General features: G+C 49.3%; 2 protein-coding genes across 7 annotated transcripts in view, besides 8 other annotated features; one reads left to right on the top strand and one right to left on the bottom strand.

Annotated features, from left to right (window-relative positions):
* Positions 302 to 13274, bottom strand: SET (SET nuclear proto-oncogene). 5 transcript variants are annotated; one of them, NM_001374326.1, is made up of 9 exons: positions 13252 to 13274; positions 12691 to 12918; positions 5471 to 5528; positions 4698 to 4840; positions 3933 to 4036; positions 3717 to 3830; positions 2890 to 3060; positions 2656 to 2802; positions 302 to 2057 (listed from the first exon to the last, which is right to left on the bottom strand). In NM_001374326.1, the coding sequence occupies exons 2-9, from the start codon at positions 12800 to 12802 to the stop codon at positions 2034 to 2036; spliced, it is 873 nt and encodes a 290-aa protein (NP_001361255.1). In that variant the 5' UTR covers positions 12803 to 12918; positions 13252 to 13274; the 3' UTR covers positions 302 to 2033. The 5 variants fall into 5 exon arrangements, with proteins under 5 accessions (NP_001361255.1, NP_001116293.1, NP_001234929.1 ...); NM_001122821.2 differs by lacking the exon at positions 13252 to 13274 and having other exon boundaries at positions 12691 to 12905; NM_001248000.2 differs by lacking the exons at positions 12691 to 12918; positions 13252 to 13274 and adding an exon at positions 11485 to 11626.
* Positions 6607 to 6726: a silencer, noted in NCBI's record as "silent region_20348". NCBI's record gives its function as "represses an Ori minimal core promoter by ATAC-STARR-seq in GM12878 lymphoblastoid cells {active_cell/tissue: GM12878}" and the evidence as "EXISTENCE:reporter gene assay evidence [ECO:0000049][PMID:35858748]".
* Positions 7107 to 8016: a silencer, noted in NCBI's record as "silent region_20347". NCBI's record gives its function as "represses an Ori minimal core promoter by ATAC-STARR-seq in GM12878 lymphoblastoid cells {active_cell/tissue: GM12878}" and the evidence as "EXISTENCE:reporter gene assay evidence [ECO:0000049][PMID:35858748]".
* Positions 8303 to 9179: an enhancer, noted in NCBI's record as "H3K27ac-H3K4me1 hESC enhancer chr9:131449798-131450674 (GRCh37/hg19 assembly coordinates)". NCBI's record gives its function as "activates a minimal SCP1, AML or CMV promoter by ChIP-STARR-seq in naive H9 embryonic stem cells {active_cell/tissue: H9 hESC(naive)}" and the evidence as "EXISTENCE:reporter gene assay evidence [ECO:0000049][PMID:30033119]".
* Positions 10530 to 10629: an enhancer, noted in NCBI's record as "active region_29090". NCBI's record gives its function as "activates an Ori minimal core promoter by ATAC-STARR-seq in GM12878 lymphoblastoid cells {active_cell/tissue: GM12878}" and the evidence as "EXISTENCE:reporter gene assay evidence [ECO:0000049][PMID:35858748]".
* Positions 10670 to 10759: an enhancer, noted in NCBI's record as "active region_29089". NCBI's record gives its function as "activates an Ori minimal core promoter by ATAC-STARR-seq in GM12878 lymphoblastoid cells {active_cell/tissue: GM12878}" and the evidence as "EXISTENCE:reporter gene assay evidence [ECO:0000049][PMID:35858748]".
* Positions 11965 to 12054: an enhancer, noted in NCBI's record as "active region_29088". NCBI's record gives its function as "activates an Ori minimal core promoter by ATAC-STARR-seq in GM12878 lymphoblastoid cells {active_cell/tissue: GM12878}" and the evidence as "EXISTENCE:reporter gene assay evidence [ECO:0000049][PMID:35858748]".
* The window catches only part of DYNC2I2 (dynein 2 intermediate chain 2), a 50808-nt gene continuing 48099 nt past the window's right edge, over positions 12238 to 14946 (top strand). For both annotated transcript variants that reach the window (XM_011519179.3, XM_047424057.1), the window contains exon 1: positions 12238 to 12332. The gene's annotated coding sequence lies outside the window, so the exon portion shown is untranslated. The remainder of the gene's footprint in view (positions 12333 to 14946) is intronic.
* Positions 12468 to 13105: an enhancer, noted in NCBI's record as "NANOG-H3K27ac-H3K4me1 hESC enhancer chr9:131445872-131446509 (GRCh37/hg19 assembly coordinates)". NCBI's record gives its function as "activates a minimal SCP1, AML or CMV promoter by ChIP-STARR-seq in naive H9 embryonic stem cells {active_cell/tissue: H9 hESC(naive)}" and the evidence as "EXISTENCE:reporter gene assay evidence [ECO:0000049][PMID:30033119]".
* Positions 13106 to 13742: an enhancer, noted in NCBI's record as "NANOG-H3K27ac-H3K4me1 hESC enhancer chr9:131445235-131445871 (GRCh37/hg19 assembly coordinates)". NCBI's record gives its function as "activates a minimal SCP1, AML or CMV promoter by ChIP-STARR-seq in naive H9 embryonic stem cells {active_cell/tissue: H9 hESC(naive)}" and the evidence as "EXISTENCE:reporter gene assay evidence [ECO:0000049][PMID:30033119]".

Genomic DNA, 14946 nt, shown 5'->3' with positions numbered 1-14946 from the left:
ATAACAGGACCCACTGTACTCAATTTTCTTCCTAGTGAAAAGTCCTTTTGAGACTTCAGAATGAAAATGCTATACTCACCCTCTCAGAAACTGTTTACTCAGAAACTGTATCCAAGTAAGATATTTGAATTTGTCCTTTACTCGGACACCGACCAGCTCAAAGCTTTCTAAACCAATGTCATACCATTAGCGCTAACCCACGCTTCCCCAGTCACTAACGATGTGAAGACAAAAAACTAGAACAATTTCTGAATCCAATAGCAAGTAACATTTCTCTATAAAACAAGGAGAATGACCCCAGTCCAAAAAAAATCTTTATGTTCCTTTATTGGAGCAAGATTCCTGATCGGTATACAGTGATGTATTTACTAAACAGAGACCTGTGCAGAAATTACATACTATCCATCTAGATAGGTTGTTACACTTTTGCCTATTGATGGAATAGTTCCATTTATCAAGTTTTATACATCAAAAAGCTTTTGAAGTTCACCAGACTGTCCATTAATTCACCTCTGAAAAAGTGGCATTTAATTTCAGCGACTATATTTTACAGCATTAAAAAGCTTATGCATTAGGGTGCTTCTCTGCACAATGGCATTGAGCAGACAGAGCTGAGTCCATTATCCCACCCAGATTCACATGGTCACATTTGAGAGCTTTATACCAGAAAGCAGGGACAGTTACTGCTCACCATCAGACTTCTTACTGAGAGCCTATCTTCTTGGCCACATTTTATATAGCCAATGAAGACATGCCAGCAACTGTCCCGTGTATAACTTGGCATTAGAGCACCAGGTCTGTTGGATGGTGGTGGCAGGCACAATTAATTTATATCCAGGTAAAAGGCCAATTTTAAAAACTGCCACTTGGAGATAAAAATCAAGGGCACAATGTACTCAGAGAGTATTGAGCTATCTGGTATCCCAAATGATGTGAATACTTTCAGAAACCAATGGCAAATTGAACCCACGTTTCCCAGCTATGGAGATATTAATACATTGATTCAAATCCCATTACTCAATCCACATAGCCCTGAGGTCATCCTGCAAAGTGCGTATCAAAAAATACGAAGTTAGGGTGACAAAGTTTGACAGTGATGTTATACAAGTCAAACTTGGAAGGTCATAGTAAGCATACCTATGCTGAGAGAAAAGCATCAAATCCTTTGTGTACACATTTAGTTTTATTGTAACAAAGCAACTTGTACACTTTTAACGTTTAAAACTGAGCATCATCTTTCCTTTCCAGTGAAACAAAAAGAAAATTTAAAAATAAACAGGAACAAAATTACAATAGAGAATGTCAATTCCAAATAAGATCCTACAGGTTCTGCTGATTCTCCCATTGAGTGGCAGGGCTCAAGTCATCATTAGGAGAGAATTTATTTTAAAAGTGTCATCTTAAACTGCAAGGATGTCTGTCAAATATCACAATTAAACATGCCAAAGGAGAAGCCATGTTGTCAAAATGCCCACTTAACCCACCCAAACATCTCAAACCCACCCTTTGCTGACCTTCTATAACCCCATTTTTTTAAGTTTTTTTTTCTTTTTTTAAACAAGAGAAAGTAGACAGATACATGTTGGTAAATGCTAACTGTCCATATTCACATAGAGACACAGTGTACTCTCTGAGCCCAATATACAGAGAAAGGAGGAAAAAAGCTAGAATTCTATGCACTACTACACAGGGGCCTAGCACCCTCCAGCTTCCAGCAGAGCGAAGGGAGCAGGTTTTTCTTTTTTCCCACAGAGCTCGGTGGTGTTGATTCCATACAGTTTTTGTTCAGACAGGAAGGGATAAAAATGAACTTCGAACAGAAAGGGGTAGAGACTCTTTTCCCATTGTATTCTGCTCAAGGTATTTCCCCCCAAATAAATTGAGAACCATGGAGTAGAGAAAAGAGACCTCAAGAACAGGGCGACTGAGCACAAGAGGGAAAAAAAAAAAAAAAAAAAAAAAAGACTGCAACTTGCTCCCAGGGACTGGAGAAAATTTAAAAAAAGGAAGGTTGGAATCCATCAGTGTTCTATTTAGTCATCTTCTCCTTCATCCTCCTGAAAGAAAAAGTGGGCAGTTAATCTTCAGGATTAATGCTGAGACTTGCTTTCATATGGACCACAATGGACCCCACGAGTGCCCCTGGGGGCACTCCAGTTTCTAAACCTGTAAGTCAGCTGCATCGAAGGAAACACCCGTGATGATGTTGCTTCAGATTAATTAGTAACTTCAGTTCTAACCAAATCAGGTATATTTCGGATCAAATAATCCGAAATAAAACCAACCTATCCTAATTTGACTATTCAGAAATTGTGCAGTTTGTCGAAAATACATGAAACTTTGTTATTTCAGAGATGTCAGAATTTGACCAGCTACACTGCCTATATTGCCTAAGTACTGGCTAGGGAAAAACAAGCTTGGGTGGTGATAAGTCTAACCAAAAAAACCCAAAAAAAAACCAAAAAAAACCTAGTTAAACATTAGTACCATGTGCTTATCAAACATTTCCTTAATTCTTGAACAACAAAATGGCTTACTTTTTTTCCACAATCAGTTCTGGTCAGTTCTACCACACTATATATATATATATACACCCCAAAATAACATGAATTCTTTAAAAGTTATCTTTGTGGGTTTAGCCAAATTTTCTTTTACCTCTCCTTCCTCCCCTTCATCATCATCTTCATCTTCTTCACCTTCATCCTCATCCCCTTCTTCGTCAATATCTTCTAATCCTTCCTCCTCTTCATCATCATCATCATCTTCTTCTCCTTCTCCTTCTTCATCATCCATATCGGGAACCTTAAAAAAAAAAAAGCACAATATAAGGACTCATTTTTAAACAACCGAGACAAGTCCAACCTTGAATAAATGAGTATTAGAACTCACCAAGTAGTACTGTAATGGGTTTGGCCAAATATCATCTTTGATGACCTCTCCTAACTCATCAGCACCTGCATCAGAATGGTCAGTAAACCAGGTAAAGAAGCTCTCTGGTTCCTCATGCTGCCTCTTCCTGCTGGCTTTATTCTGCGTTTGACTCGAACGTTTCGTCAAATCCTAAATGAATACCGGAAGAGCTTTTGATACAATCTCTCCATAACACCCAAACTCCCTATAATTTAAAAAATAAGATTTTCCCCAAAAGCTAAGCAAAACAAATATCAGTATACTATCTACGCTACCATTATTACCTAAGAGCAATTATAAAACTGTGCAGCAGGTAGAGGTAGTATCAACTACATTTGGTTTTCCATAAAATTAGTTCCACTGTTAACAGCCACTAGCACAACACAGTATAAATATCTAAACTATGTCTTACTACCTAAATACGGATGTAAATGATTTTGAGAAATGGCAAGCCATTTGAAGAGCTCAGTCACCACTGCAGAAAACAACAGCAACAAAAAATTTAGTCCAGTTCTCAATTCTTAAACTTGGGCTAGATTTTTCTCTTTTTTTTTGTTTTTTGGAAGGTAAGGGTCTATGTTGCCCAGGGTAAACTCCTAGGCTCAAGAGATCTTCCTGCCTACATCTGTAGTATCTAATGAGAACCCTAAACTACTGTAATACTTGGCTTCAGCACACTGGAACGTTTTATATTTTAAGGTTTTGTATTTAGCCACATGACCAAAGTATCAAGCACTTGTAAGTGGTTAAAACTAAACTGAAATAGGCAAAATGCTATTTTTGTCAAATAATTCCTCAAAACATACCTTTCCAGATTTCCATTTGATTTCGGTGGACTTCGAAGATGGATCACCACTCTCATTCAGATGAAATTCTTTGGAGAGAACTTTATTTTCAAAGTAAGGATTTTCATCAAAATACTGTAATAAATAATTGAAAGATTAGAAATATGAACAGGTCTTCCAACCAAAGCTCACATTAATTTCCACAGTGGCAAACAAGATTAAGTTAGAGATACTTACAAAATCTATTCTGTAACCTGATTTAATATCTTCAAATTCTGTCACTTCAACTCTGGTCAAATAATGCAGTGCCTCTTCATCTTCCTCCCCAAGCAGTGCAGACACTAGGCCAGAAAATTACAGGTCAGCTGAATTTTCAACAGGCACACACTAACAACAATTTAAGTGATCCCTTTAAAATTTTTCCGAACTTAGTGAGCATCTTTGGTTTTATAAACCCATTATTAACTAAAGGCAATTGCTCAATATCAGACTGTCACTATCTTTCATCAAGCAATTAGAATATAGCTTCTCCTAAACAGAATAGAAAGCAGTAGCTGTATATCTTTTCCCGTCTTTGAGGTTTTTTTTTTTTTTTTTTTTTTTTTGAAACAGTCTCACTCTTGTCGCCCAGGCTGGAATGCAAAAGCGCACAATCTCGGCTCACTGCAACCTCCCCCTCCTGGGTTCAAGCGATTCTCCTGCCTCAGCCTCCCAAGTAGCGAGTAGCTGGGATTACAAGCGCGCGCCACCACGCCCAGCTAATTTTTTTTGTATTTTTAGTAGAGACGGGGTTTCAACCTGTTGGCCAAGCTGGTTTCGAACCCCTGACCTCAAGTGATCCACCCACCTCGGCCTCCCAAAGTGCTGGGATTACAGGTGCGCCACCGCACCCAGCCTGTCTTTGTTGCACGCAACCCAGCATGCTGGACTAAGTCTTCACCAAGCTTCCTCCATTCTAACAAACACTGTTTATCCTTTAACAATGCCCTGTCCAAAACATACCTTGTGGATGGTTGACAAATGTTGTTACCCAAAAATTTGGGATTTTGGCGATCAATTCTGACCTCTTCTGAAAAAATGGTTGGCGGAGTTTGTTATATTTCTGTTCTACTTTCAAAATCTCCTCACTGGCTTGTTCATTAAGTCTGAAGCAAATGAAAAGAGATGTTGACAATGATAGTATTTAACAAATTAAAAAATTGGTTGAGATTACAGAGTGTATTTACTTACTAGCTTGAGTCATGCAAAATAACCAAATTATAATAACCATTATCACCTAATTTAGACACTCAAAACTAAGATGGCAATTTTGTCTGATTTATCAATAAACACTGAGTAATAATGACTGTTAAGAGTGCCCAAACTCAACACTCTGGTAACGTGTGTATTTACTTCGCCCACTCCATTTCCAGTCCAATTTCAATTGTTTCCCTCAAGCGCGATTTCTAAATAAAGTGGCTAATCCATAACAAAGTTGTAAGGCAAGTTAGAGCAACCACTGATGCCACACTGCTAAACCATCAGAAGACCTACACTGCAATTCAGACAATTTTCAGTCTTTGAAAGCAAACCCAAACCTTGTAAGGTCAATGCACTTTCAAAAACTTCTGTACAATCACTTCACCAAAAAACACTGAATCTACATAAGTATTTCCAACCAAGTTAGAATCATTTCCCCTTTGACAGTGGATAGATTTGACCATAGCTTCGATAATTACCGGGCTATTAGACACATCTCAGAAAATTTCTCCGAAGTATATTAAGAAAAATGTTACCTGTCTATTTCATTTTGTACTTCATCAATGTGTTCAATCGCTTCTTGCTGTTCTTTTTCTGCAAAAAAGGAGCAAAAAACTTAATTCTAAGATAAATTTACCTAGTTTTCCAGATGTTAATACTATAATATTCCAAAAGCCATTAAAACAAAAACAAAAACGCCTAGTACAAAGGCAAGCGTTCCACATGTTCATGCTTGTAGCTGACTAATTTCTTTTTAATTAATTAAAAGACCATTTACAAGTCATGCTGTCTGCTGGTTTACTCAGAAATTGGTTTTCTATAGCGCCTTTTTAAAGAGTTTCACTACAACAGACCGATCATTAAGGTTTCTACTATGAAAGACACAGAATAACCTTATTCAGAAGTCTTCACGTTTATTATTTCACATTATACACTTGCAAGAGAACAGTAGCAGCTGCTAACTAGAATATGGAAACTAAACCCATGACAATGATACAAATTAGGCCACCACTACCACCTATCAAGGTAAAACCACCTTTCATAGAAAGTTGACGACTCTGCTATTACGATGAAGATACCAGGCACGCCTACAAAGACTGGAAAGTCACGGGGCACCATCCTACACCCTGGCCTTCGCCTTCTCAGAACATGAACCCCTCCAACCCAATTCAGGCGGGCAGACCTCAGATGCGGCCCCACACGACTTTGGAGCACTTACTGGGAGCAACTATGAGATCGGAAAGCAGTGAGGCACAGAAGGGAGAGGAAGAAAAGGGGGTGTGCTCTGGAATAGGTGCCCTTTTGTCCTGTAAAGACTACAAACCCCCTACAAAGCTAAGTGGGTGTGAAAGGGCCAGATCGCGCGGTTCATTTCCGGTAACCATCCCGGATTGGCAGCCCCCCTGCCGAGAGCCTCCTAGGCAGAGGCCAGCTTTCTTAGCCATTTCCAAGACCCCCGATACACTGGTCGCGGCGCCAGGTTTCTCCGCACGCTGGCGCGACGGGGCGGCCGCCCCACGTGGGGAGTGCGCCCGGGCTGGCCAGAGCATCCTCCCGGCCGGCCAAGGCCCAGCGCGCGGCCGCCCGCGTGTTCCCCGCGCCCCCACCCCACCCGAGCTCCAGGCAGAAGCCCCGCCGGGGCCAGCCTCTGGGCGGGGGTGCCGGGGGCGCCGCCGCGGGCCGGGCGCGAAGCGGAACCGCGCGGGAGGTCGGGCGCGGGGCCGCGTCCGGCCGCACCATGTGGCGGCGGCGGCGGCTGATGGGAGCGAGGCATCATGGCGGAGCACAATAAAGAGAGGCTTCTCGGGAGGGAGGGAGGGGGAGGAGAGCGAGGGAGGGGGGAGAGGAAGGGGGGGTCTCCTCCGCCCGCGCCGAGCAGGCCGCAGCGCCCCCGCCTCGCAGCGCGGCCGCCGCGGCGCGGGCCACCCAGGCCCCCAGCCCAGCCGCGCACAAAAAAGGGCGCCGAGTCCGCGGGCCCCCGCCCGGCCGCGCCGCGCCCCCCCGCCCGGCGCCCCCCGCGCGCGCCCCGGGCCCCGCCGGCGGCCTGCGGGCCGGGGCGGGCGGCGAAGATGGCGGCGCGGGCCGGCCCCCGGGCTCGCTGCTCTCACCTGAGGTCTCGTCGGCCCCGTCGTGGTTGGAGTTGAGCTCCTTTTTACTGACTTTGGCCGCCGGCGCCGACATGGTGCTGCTCCGCGGTCGGGGGGGGAGCGGGGAGGGGGAGAGAAGGGAAGGCGAAGGGGGCGGGCAAGCGGCTTCCCCTCACGCCACACGCGCGGGCGCCCGCTCGGTCCGGCCGCCTCCTCCCGGCGCTCGCTCGCTCTCCCTCCCCCTCGCTCGCTCGCGCGCGCTACCCTCGCGGCCTGACGCCGAGGGACGGGCTGGGGCGGCGTGCCGGGCCCCGGCCCGGGCTCCTGTTCGCGGAGGGGAGGCGGAGGCGGCGGCGGCGGGCGGCTCGGCTCCCTCACTCGCGCTCGGCGATCCAGCCAGCTCGCTGCTCGCTCTCCCGAGCCGCCTCCTCCTCCACCTCCTCCTACGGCGAGGGGCGGGCGCAGGGCGCAGGCGCGCCAGGCCCCGCGCGGATGCTCCGCCTCCGGCCGGGGAGGCTCGCGCCGCGGCGCCATTGGCCTGGGCGGCGGGATGAGGGGGCGGAGTCGCGGCGCGGAGACACAGGGCCCGGCGAGAGGTGGGAGGAAGGCGCGCGGCGACGCACGGCCGCCCCCCGCGCCGCGTCCCCTCCCCCGCTCTCCCCTCTCCGGCCCGACCCAGGACACTGGCGCGCGGCAGGCCGGTGGGCGGGGCGTCGCACGGAGGCGCGGGTGCCCCCGGCCGGCGCGTCACGTGGTGAGCGAGCGGCTTCCCTGCTCCGCGGGGCACCGGGAGCGGGGCGCCCACCACCCCGAAAGTGCAGGCCCGGCCTCGTATGGGGGCCCCGAATTCCGCCCGGCCTCTCGGCGCCTTCCACTTCGTGGAGAAAGCAGGGGGCACCCCATTCTGGATGCCAGATGGGGAACTGCCGATCGGACTCAAACTCGGGCTCGTGTGCGAAGCCCCAGGCTGTGTAATCCGCGCGCAGGGCCATTCCTGGGTTTTAGTCCAAGCCCTGCCCAGCAAGCTTGTACCCTTGAGCAAGTCACCCTTCCTCTCTGAACCCGTTTCTGTTATGAAATGATAAAGGTTACGACACTGAAGCCACATTAAACTCGAAGTCCTGTGAAGGCAGGGAGGTACCACATTAGTCCGCGGTGCCCAGCGCCCGCAAGAATCATACTGAGCGTTAAGTGCCAGTTTCAGCAGCGCATGGCACGGTTATCTCACCGAGGCCTCACAACAGCCCCAAGCGATAGGCGGTGTTCTGTTCATAGAGATGAAAGGGGCCAACAAGTTCTACTTGAGAGGCAAAGTTCTGAACCACTAAGGAGGGCCAAAGCATTTTGTTTAAATAATACTTTTCAAGTAATGCGGATGCCCCACATTCTGTCCCTCCAGCACCCCAAGACATGAACCATAAAAAGCCAGAAAAACCCTGATTAGTAGCATTTGTTTGTTTGTTTTGAGACGGGAGTCTTGCTCTGTCCCCCAGGCTGGAGTGCAGTGGCGCAATCTTGGCTCACTGCAAGCTCTGCCTCTCGGGTTCAAGCAATTCTCCTGCCTCGGCCTCCCGAGTAGCTGGGGCTACAGGCACGTGCCACCATGCCCGGCTAATTTTTGTATTTTTAGTAGAGATGGAGTTTCACCACCTTGGCCAGGCTGGTCTACTGACCTGGGGTGATCCACTCACCTCGTCCTCCCAAAGTGCTGGGATTACAGGCGGGAGCCACTGCGCCCGGCCAGTACCATTTGTTGATTTTAGTGATACGCTGGCCAATTTCAAATCCTGGCCATGCAATAGCTCACTCCTGTTATCCCAACACTTTGGGAGGCCAAGGCAGGAGGATCGCTTGGGCCCAGGAATTCCAGGCTTCAATGAGCCCCAATGCAGCCACTGCACTGAAGCCTGAGTGACAGAGCAAGACCCTATCTCTAAAACAAAAACAAAAAAATACCTGAAATCTCTCTTTGGACATTTTTAACCAGAACTTGGGGTTGGAATTCTGCCTTCCAGAACTCACACTTTACCATTGGCTCTTTTTTTTTTTTTTTTTTTTTGGTGGGGGAGGGGACCAAGTCTCATTCTGTCTTCCAGGCTGGAGTGCAGTGGTGCCATCTCAGCTCACTGCAACCTCCGCCTCCCGGGTTCAAGTGATTCTCCTGCCTCAGCATCCTGAGTTGCTAGGATTACAGATGTGAGTCACCACGCCCTGCTAATTTTTGTATTTTTTGGTAGAGACAGGTTTTCACCATGTTGGCCAGACTGGTCTCAAACTCCTGACCTCAGGTGATCCACCTGCCTCTGCCTCCCAAAGTGCTGAGATTACAGGCATGAGCCACTGAGCTCGGCCCACTATCAGCTCTTAAAGCTCAAGCAGCATCTTTCATGTTCAAGACAGTGCACGGTGAGTGTCTTAGCCTCCCGAGTATCTGGGATTACAGGCGCCCACTACCATGCCAAGCTAATTTTTGTATTTTTTAGTAGAGACGGGGTTTCACCATGTTGGCCAGGCTGGTCTCGAACTCCCGACCTCAGGTGATCTGCCCACCTCGGCCTCCCAAAGTGCTGGGACTACAGGCATGAGCCACCCACTGTGCCTAGCATAAACTAAACTTTGTTGCAAGTGACAGAACCAAGATTCTAAACCAAGTAGCAATTGACAAAGCCCTTACCTTAAAACAGTTTTTCTATTTTTATTGTTGTTATTATTATGAGACAGGGTCTCTCTCTGTCGCCCAGAACCATGGCTCACTGCAGCCTTGACCTCCTGGGCTCTGGGGATTCTTACACCTCAGCCTTCTGAGTAGCTGGGACCACAGGCAAGCACCACTGCCACCTTGCCTGGCTAATTTTGTTTTTATCTTTTGTAGAGAGGAGGTATCACCATGTTGCCCAGGCTGGTCTCAAACTCCTGAGCTCAAACCATCCTTCAGCCTCAGCCTTCCAGAGCTCTGGGATTACAAGAGTTAGCCATCGCACCCTGCCTCAGTTTTTTTAATGTGACCAACAGTCAGAAGTACTTTTGACATCATGACCTAGCACACACAAACCAAAACTTACCCTTACCAAGGGTGATGTGATTCTAATTTCCTATTTAAAATGCAGGTCACACCCCACCAAATTGATTTCACGACCCGCTCCTGGGCTGAGTCTGTCTGAGAACACTATGCCAAGGGCTGGCTGCTTCCATCCTCAAAGCCTGACCCATAGGGTCACTCCTGACCCACAATGTCTCCTAAGTGCCTTATCTGCCTGTTTCCCAAGCACCTGCAGGGGTCCCAGGGAACCCTGTAATGCCTTCTGATGGGGGAGTGGGCTTTCAGGTTCCCTTTCTGGCCTCCCAACCCTCCCTGCCACCTCCCTGCCCCTCTTTTCCTGCCCTTCCCCACACAGTGCTTCTCAAGATAAATATGAGCACACTAGGAAGTTGAAGAGAAAGAGAAAGCAAAAGGGCCAGGGGTGTGAGTAAACACAGGCGAGCCGGGGGCACACTGAGAGGTTATTCACCCACTCTTAGGACTCTGCTCTCTCCCCGTCTCCAACACCAGAAGCTCTGCATTCTCTCTTCTTGGCCTCTCCCCTCACTCAGAATTCCTCCCTTGCCTCTCTCCTCTCCTCCTGGCCCCTCTGGTTGTTTTTTTTTTTGTTGTTGTTGTTGTTGTTCTTGTCGCCCAGGCTGGAGTGCAATGGCACGAACTCGGCTCATTGCAACCTCCGCCTCCGGAGTTCAAGCAATTCTCCTGCCTTAGCCCCCCAAGTAGCTGGGATTACAGGCATGCATCGTCACGCCTGGCTAACTGTCTTTGGTAGAGATGGGGTTTAGCCATGTTGGCCAGGCTGGTCTTGAACTTCTGACCTCAGGTGATCTGCCCACCTCGGCCTCCCAAAGTGCTGGGATTACAGGCGTCAGCCACCGCGCCCGGCCCCCGGCTCCCTTTGAAGAGGACAGAACCCCACCGCCAGAAAGACTGGAACAGAGAGAGGCTGGCATTCCCCCACAGTGCTGCAGTGTCCCAAGCACAGACCAAAAAATCTCCAGAGCCTGGAACATCTCCCCCGCCACAGACACATACACATCTCTTTGAGCCTCCTGTTCTGATCTGTAAAATTGGGATGTCCACAGCATACGGCTGTGAGGATAGAGAAGTGCTTGGCACAGCTTCTGGCATGCCATCAGTGCCTACTAAGCAGCAGGAGCTGTTCTTTGGGTTTAGATGAACCCCCTCACACCTTTCCATCCCTTCCAGTCCTGTTAATGCTCCCAGGAAGCTCACTGGAAGGAAACTAGGAAGACTCACCCACATTTTGCTGCGCACAAATGCACTCTAGAGCACTGATGATGTGCTAGGCGCTGTCTAGTGCTCCCCTTAGATTTCAGACTCACAGCAAGCCTGGAGATCAGTACTGTGGATCCCATTTTATAGAAGAGAAAACAAGCACAAGTTGTTTTATGTGGCTCACCCAGCAAGGTAGGTTTCAAGCTGGGCAGGAGGTCTCTGCATCCCATGTGGAGGAAAAGGGACTGAGACCCAGTAAAAGTGCCAACAGGTCCACACTGAGCCCTGAGGTAGGACTCCTCCTCAGTGCTTCTTCCATAAGAGTTGCCTGCCCTCAGCCAATCAAAGCTTCCCGTTTCCTTGCAGGCCCTGGGCCTATCCACACCCAGCCCAGGAAGGCTCCACCACAACCCTCCCCTATGAGCCAGACCTAGTCACCAGAACAGTCAACTCTCTATCCAGCTCCAGCTACGTCTCCCAAAATGCAGCCCTCACCTCTAAGTTTAATGGGGGGAAGGGCAGGCATGAAACTGCTGGTTACAATGTAATGACAAGAGGGTGAGGCAGCATGACTCTGGGACTCCTAACTCCCAAGTGTTGGGGCTCACAGATTGCCCACAGGAAGTGACTTTCCAGCAGAGAGCTGGAGGTGGTGCACAGGTAAGGAGAGGAAAGGGCAAGTGGGTGTCTAGGCCCCGAGATCAGAGGGTAGAGTCCCAAGAGGTCAAGGTGAAGGGTACCACCTTGAGGGAGGCCTCCAGGTGGGGAGTCTCAGAAGTGTGAACCAGGAGAGGTCGGCGGGGACCGGGTTGGCGGGCCAGAGAAGTTTCTGAGCACCTGGAGGACGCGGGGAGGCAAGGGAGGGGTTTAAGCCGGGGAGTGGGCCACGTGATTGGCTATGCTCAGGCTGAAGGGGAGGAGGAGGAAGCTGGAAGCCAAGATGAGGAGGTGGCAGAGATTCAGGCCAGAGTTGTGGGCCGCCGTCGGCAGCAAGAACAGAGAGAGAGGTGGACAGATCTGAGAGATACTGAGGTAGAACCACCAGGAATCGGGGATTTGGCTGGATGTGGAGGGGTGAAGGAGGGGCCTCAGGCTGGCTGGCAGTGCCCCTTGCCAAGAAAGGGAGCCCCAGAGGAGGAAGTTTGGGGGCTGGGGAGACAAGCTCAGGGGTCAGTGTTGAGTTGGGGGCAGGGATGAGCTCCCGTGCACTCCCGTTCTCCCAGTCTAGTCCCTTCTGGTTCTTCACGCAAACTTAATCCACCATCCCAGGTTTAAAACCCTTTGGGGGTGCTTAGGGGTCACATCTCAAGAGGGATTGGGGGGTAAAAATCAGAGAGTCAATCCTTGCAAATCCCTTAAATCTCCAATAAAACTTAGCGCAGAAACGTACCTCCCTTCTTCGGCAAGCCTGCAGAGGCCGATGTCTCCTCCGGTCCCAGAGCAGGAGGTGGTCTTGGTTTCTTCTTTTGAGGCGGGAGTGGAGACTGGCGTTTAGGGGCCATGCTGTTAGGGAAGTCCCAGAACCAGACCACGAGTCTCCTCGCCCGTCCGGAAGCAGGCTGAACACTGAGACTGCCCCAGGTGCCAGCGGCTTAAATCTGCACTGGAGCCGCCCTGCCTGGAAGGGATATTTACATGACAGTGGGACACACACCCCGGCCCCCTCCCCCAGCCTCATCCCACCCACCCTCCAATCAGGAGAAATTTCTTTTAGTTGCTCTCTGCCTCGCTCTGCAGGGGCACTCTTGGCTTTGGGGGAGGGGGCAAGTTCTTCCTTGAGGAGAGGATCCCTGTGCTTTCTAGACCTCCTGGTTTCACGTGAAACCCCCGCAGCCTATCCCCCAGTTCGTTCCCAAACCCCCAGGTAGACAGGCCTGCCCCTACTGAGAACTTATCCTCTTTTTTTTTTCCTTTGGCCTCCAAAAGATTTAAACACGTGCTGTTGCCTCACCTAAGCTTGGAACATTCCTCAGTAAACCACACCCCCACTGCCCGGTTTCGCTAACTCCTTCCTGACCTCCCTTGTCTCTGCTTGAAGGGATAGATTAATGTTGAAAAAAAGATTTCCCAATCAAGAATTACAAAGGAATTAGATGCCTGCTTTAAAAAAAAAAAAAAGAAGAAAGAAAGAATTACAGAGAAAGAGGGAAAAGCAGGAAACTTTGGAGACTTGGAGTATTTATTCATTCTTCACTTGTTTCAGAAAGGGATACAAGTTAAGAGAAGAGGGTTTATTTTAGCTGGGCGTGGTGGTGGGCACCTGTAATCCCAGCTACTTGGGAGGCTGAGGCAGGAGAATCGCTTGAACCTGGGAGGTGGAGGTTGCAGTGAGCCGAGATCGTGCCACTGCACTCCAGCCTAGGCGACAGAGCGGGACCCTGTCTCAAAAAAAGACTTTTTTTTTTTTTTAAGACAAGGTCCCAGCCGGGCGCAGTGACTCAAGCCTGTAATCCCAGCACTTTGGGAGGCTGAGGCAGGCGGATCACGAGGTCAGGAAATCGAGACCATCCTGGCTAACATGGTGAAACCCCGTCTCTACTAAAAATACAAAAAAATCAGCCGAGCGTGGAGGTGGGCACCTGTAGTCCCAGCTACTCACGAGGCTGAGGCAGGAGAATGGTGTGAACCCGGGAGGCGGAGCTTGCAGTGAGCTGAGATCGCAACACTGCACTCCAGCCTGGGCGACAGAGCGAGACTCCGTCTCAAAAAAAAAAAAAAAAAAAAAGACAAGGTCCCATCCTGTCTCTGAGGCTCAAGTACATTAGTGATCATGGCTCACGGCAGCCTCAACTTCCCAGGCTCAGGTGATCCTCCCACCTCAGCCTCCTGAGTAGCTGGGACTACAGACGTCACCACCATGCCTGGCTAATTTTTTGTATTTTTAGTAGGCACAGGGTTTGGCCATGTTGCCCAGGCTGGTCTCCAACTCCTGGTCCCAAGCCAACTGCCCACCTCAGCCTCCCAAAGTGCTAGTATTACAGGCATAAGCCACCACACCAGACCAGAAGAATTTTTACTATTTATTTATTTATAGAAAGAGTCTCACTCTGGGCCAGGTGCGGTGGCTCATGCCTGTAATCGCAGCACTTTGGGAGGCTGATGCGGGTGGATCACGAGGTCAGGAGATCGAGATCGTCCTGGCTAACACGGTGAAGCCCCACCTCTACTAAAAATACAAAAAATTAGCCGGGCGTGGTTGCAGGCACCTGTAGTCCCAGCTACTCGGGAGGCTGAGGCAGGAGAATGGCCAGAACCCAGGAGGCGGAGATCGCAGTGAGTGGAGATTGCGCCAGCCTGAGCGACAGAGCGAGACTGTCAAAAAAAAAAAAAAAAGTCTCACTCTGTCATCCAGGCTGGAGTGCTGTGGCATAATCTTTGGCTCACTGCAACCTCCACCTCCCAGTTTCAAGCAATTCTCCTGTCTCAGCCTCCTGAGTAGCTGGGGTTACAGGCACCGCCACTAGGCGTGACTAATTTTTGTATTTTAAGTAGAGATGGGTTTTCACCACGTTGGCCAGGCTGGTCTTGAACTCCTGACCTTAAGTGATCCTCCTGCTTCAGCCTCCAAAGTGCTGGGATTACAGGTGTGAGCCACCGCACCCAACCTAGAAGAATTTTTAGAAAGCCGCTTGTCTGGGGGTCACAA

Source organism: Homo sapiens, chromosome 9 (genome assembly GCF_000001405.40).
Source record: "Homo sapiens chromosome 9, GRCh38.p14 Primary Assembly".
NCBI lineage: Eukaryota > Metazoa > Chordata > Mammalia > Primates > Hominidae > Homo > Homo sapiens.
Note: the sequence above shows the minus strand (reverse complement) of the source record. Positions and strands in the feature narration are given on the sequence as shown.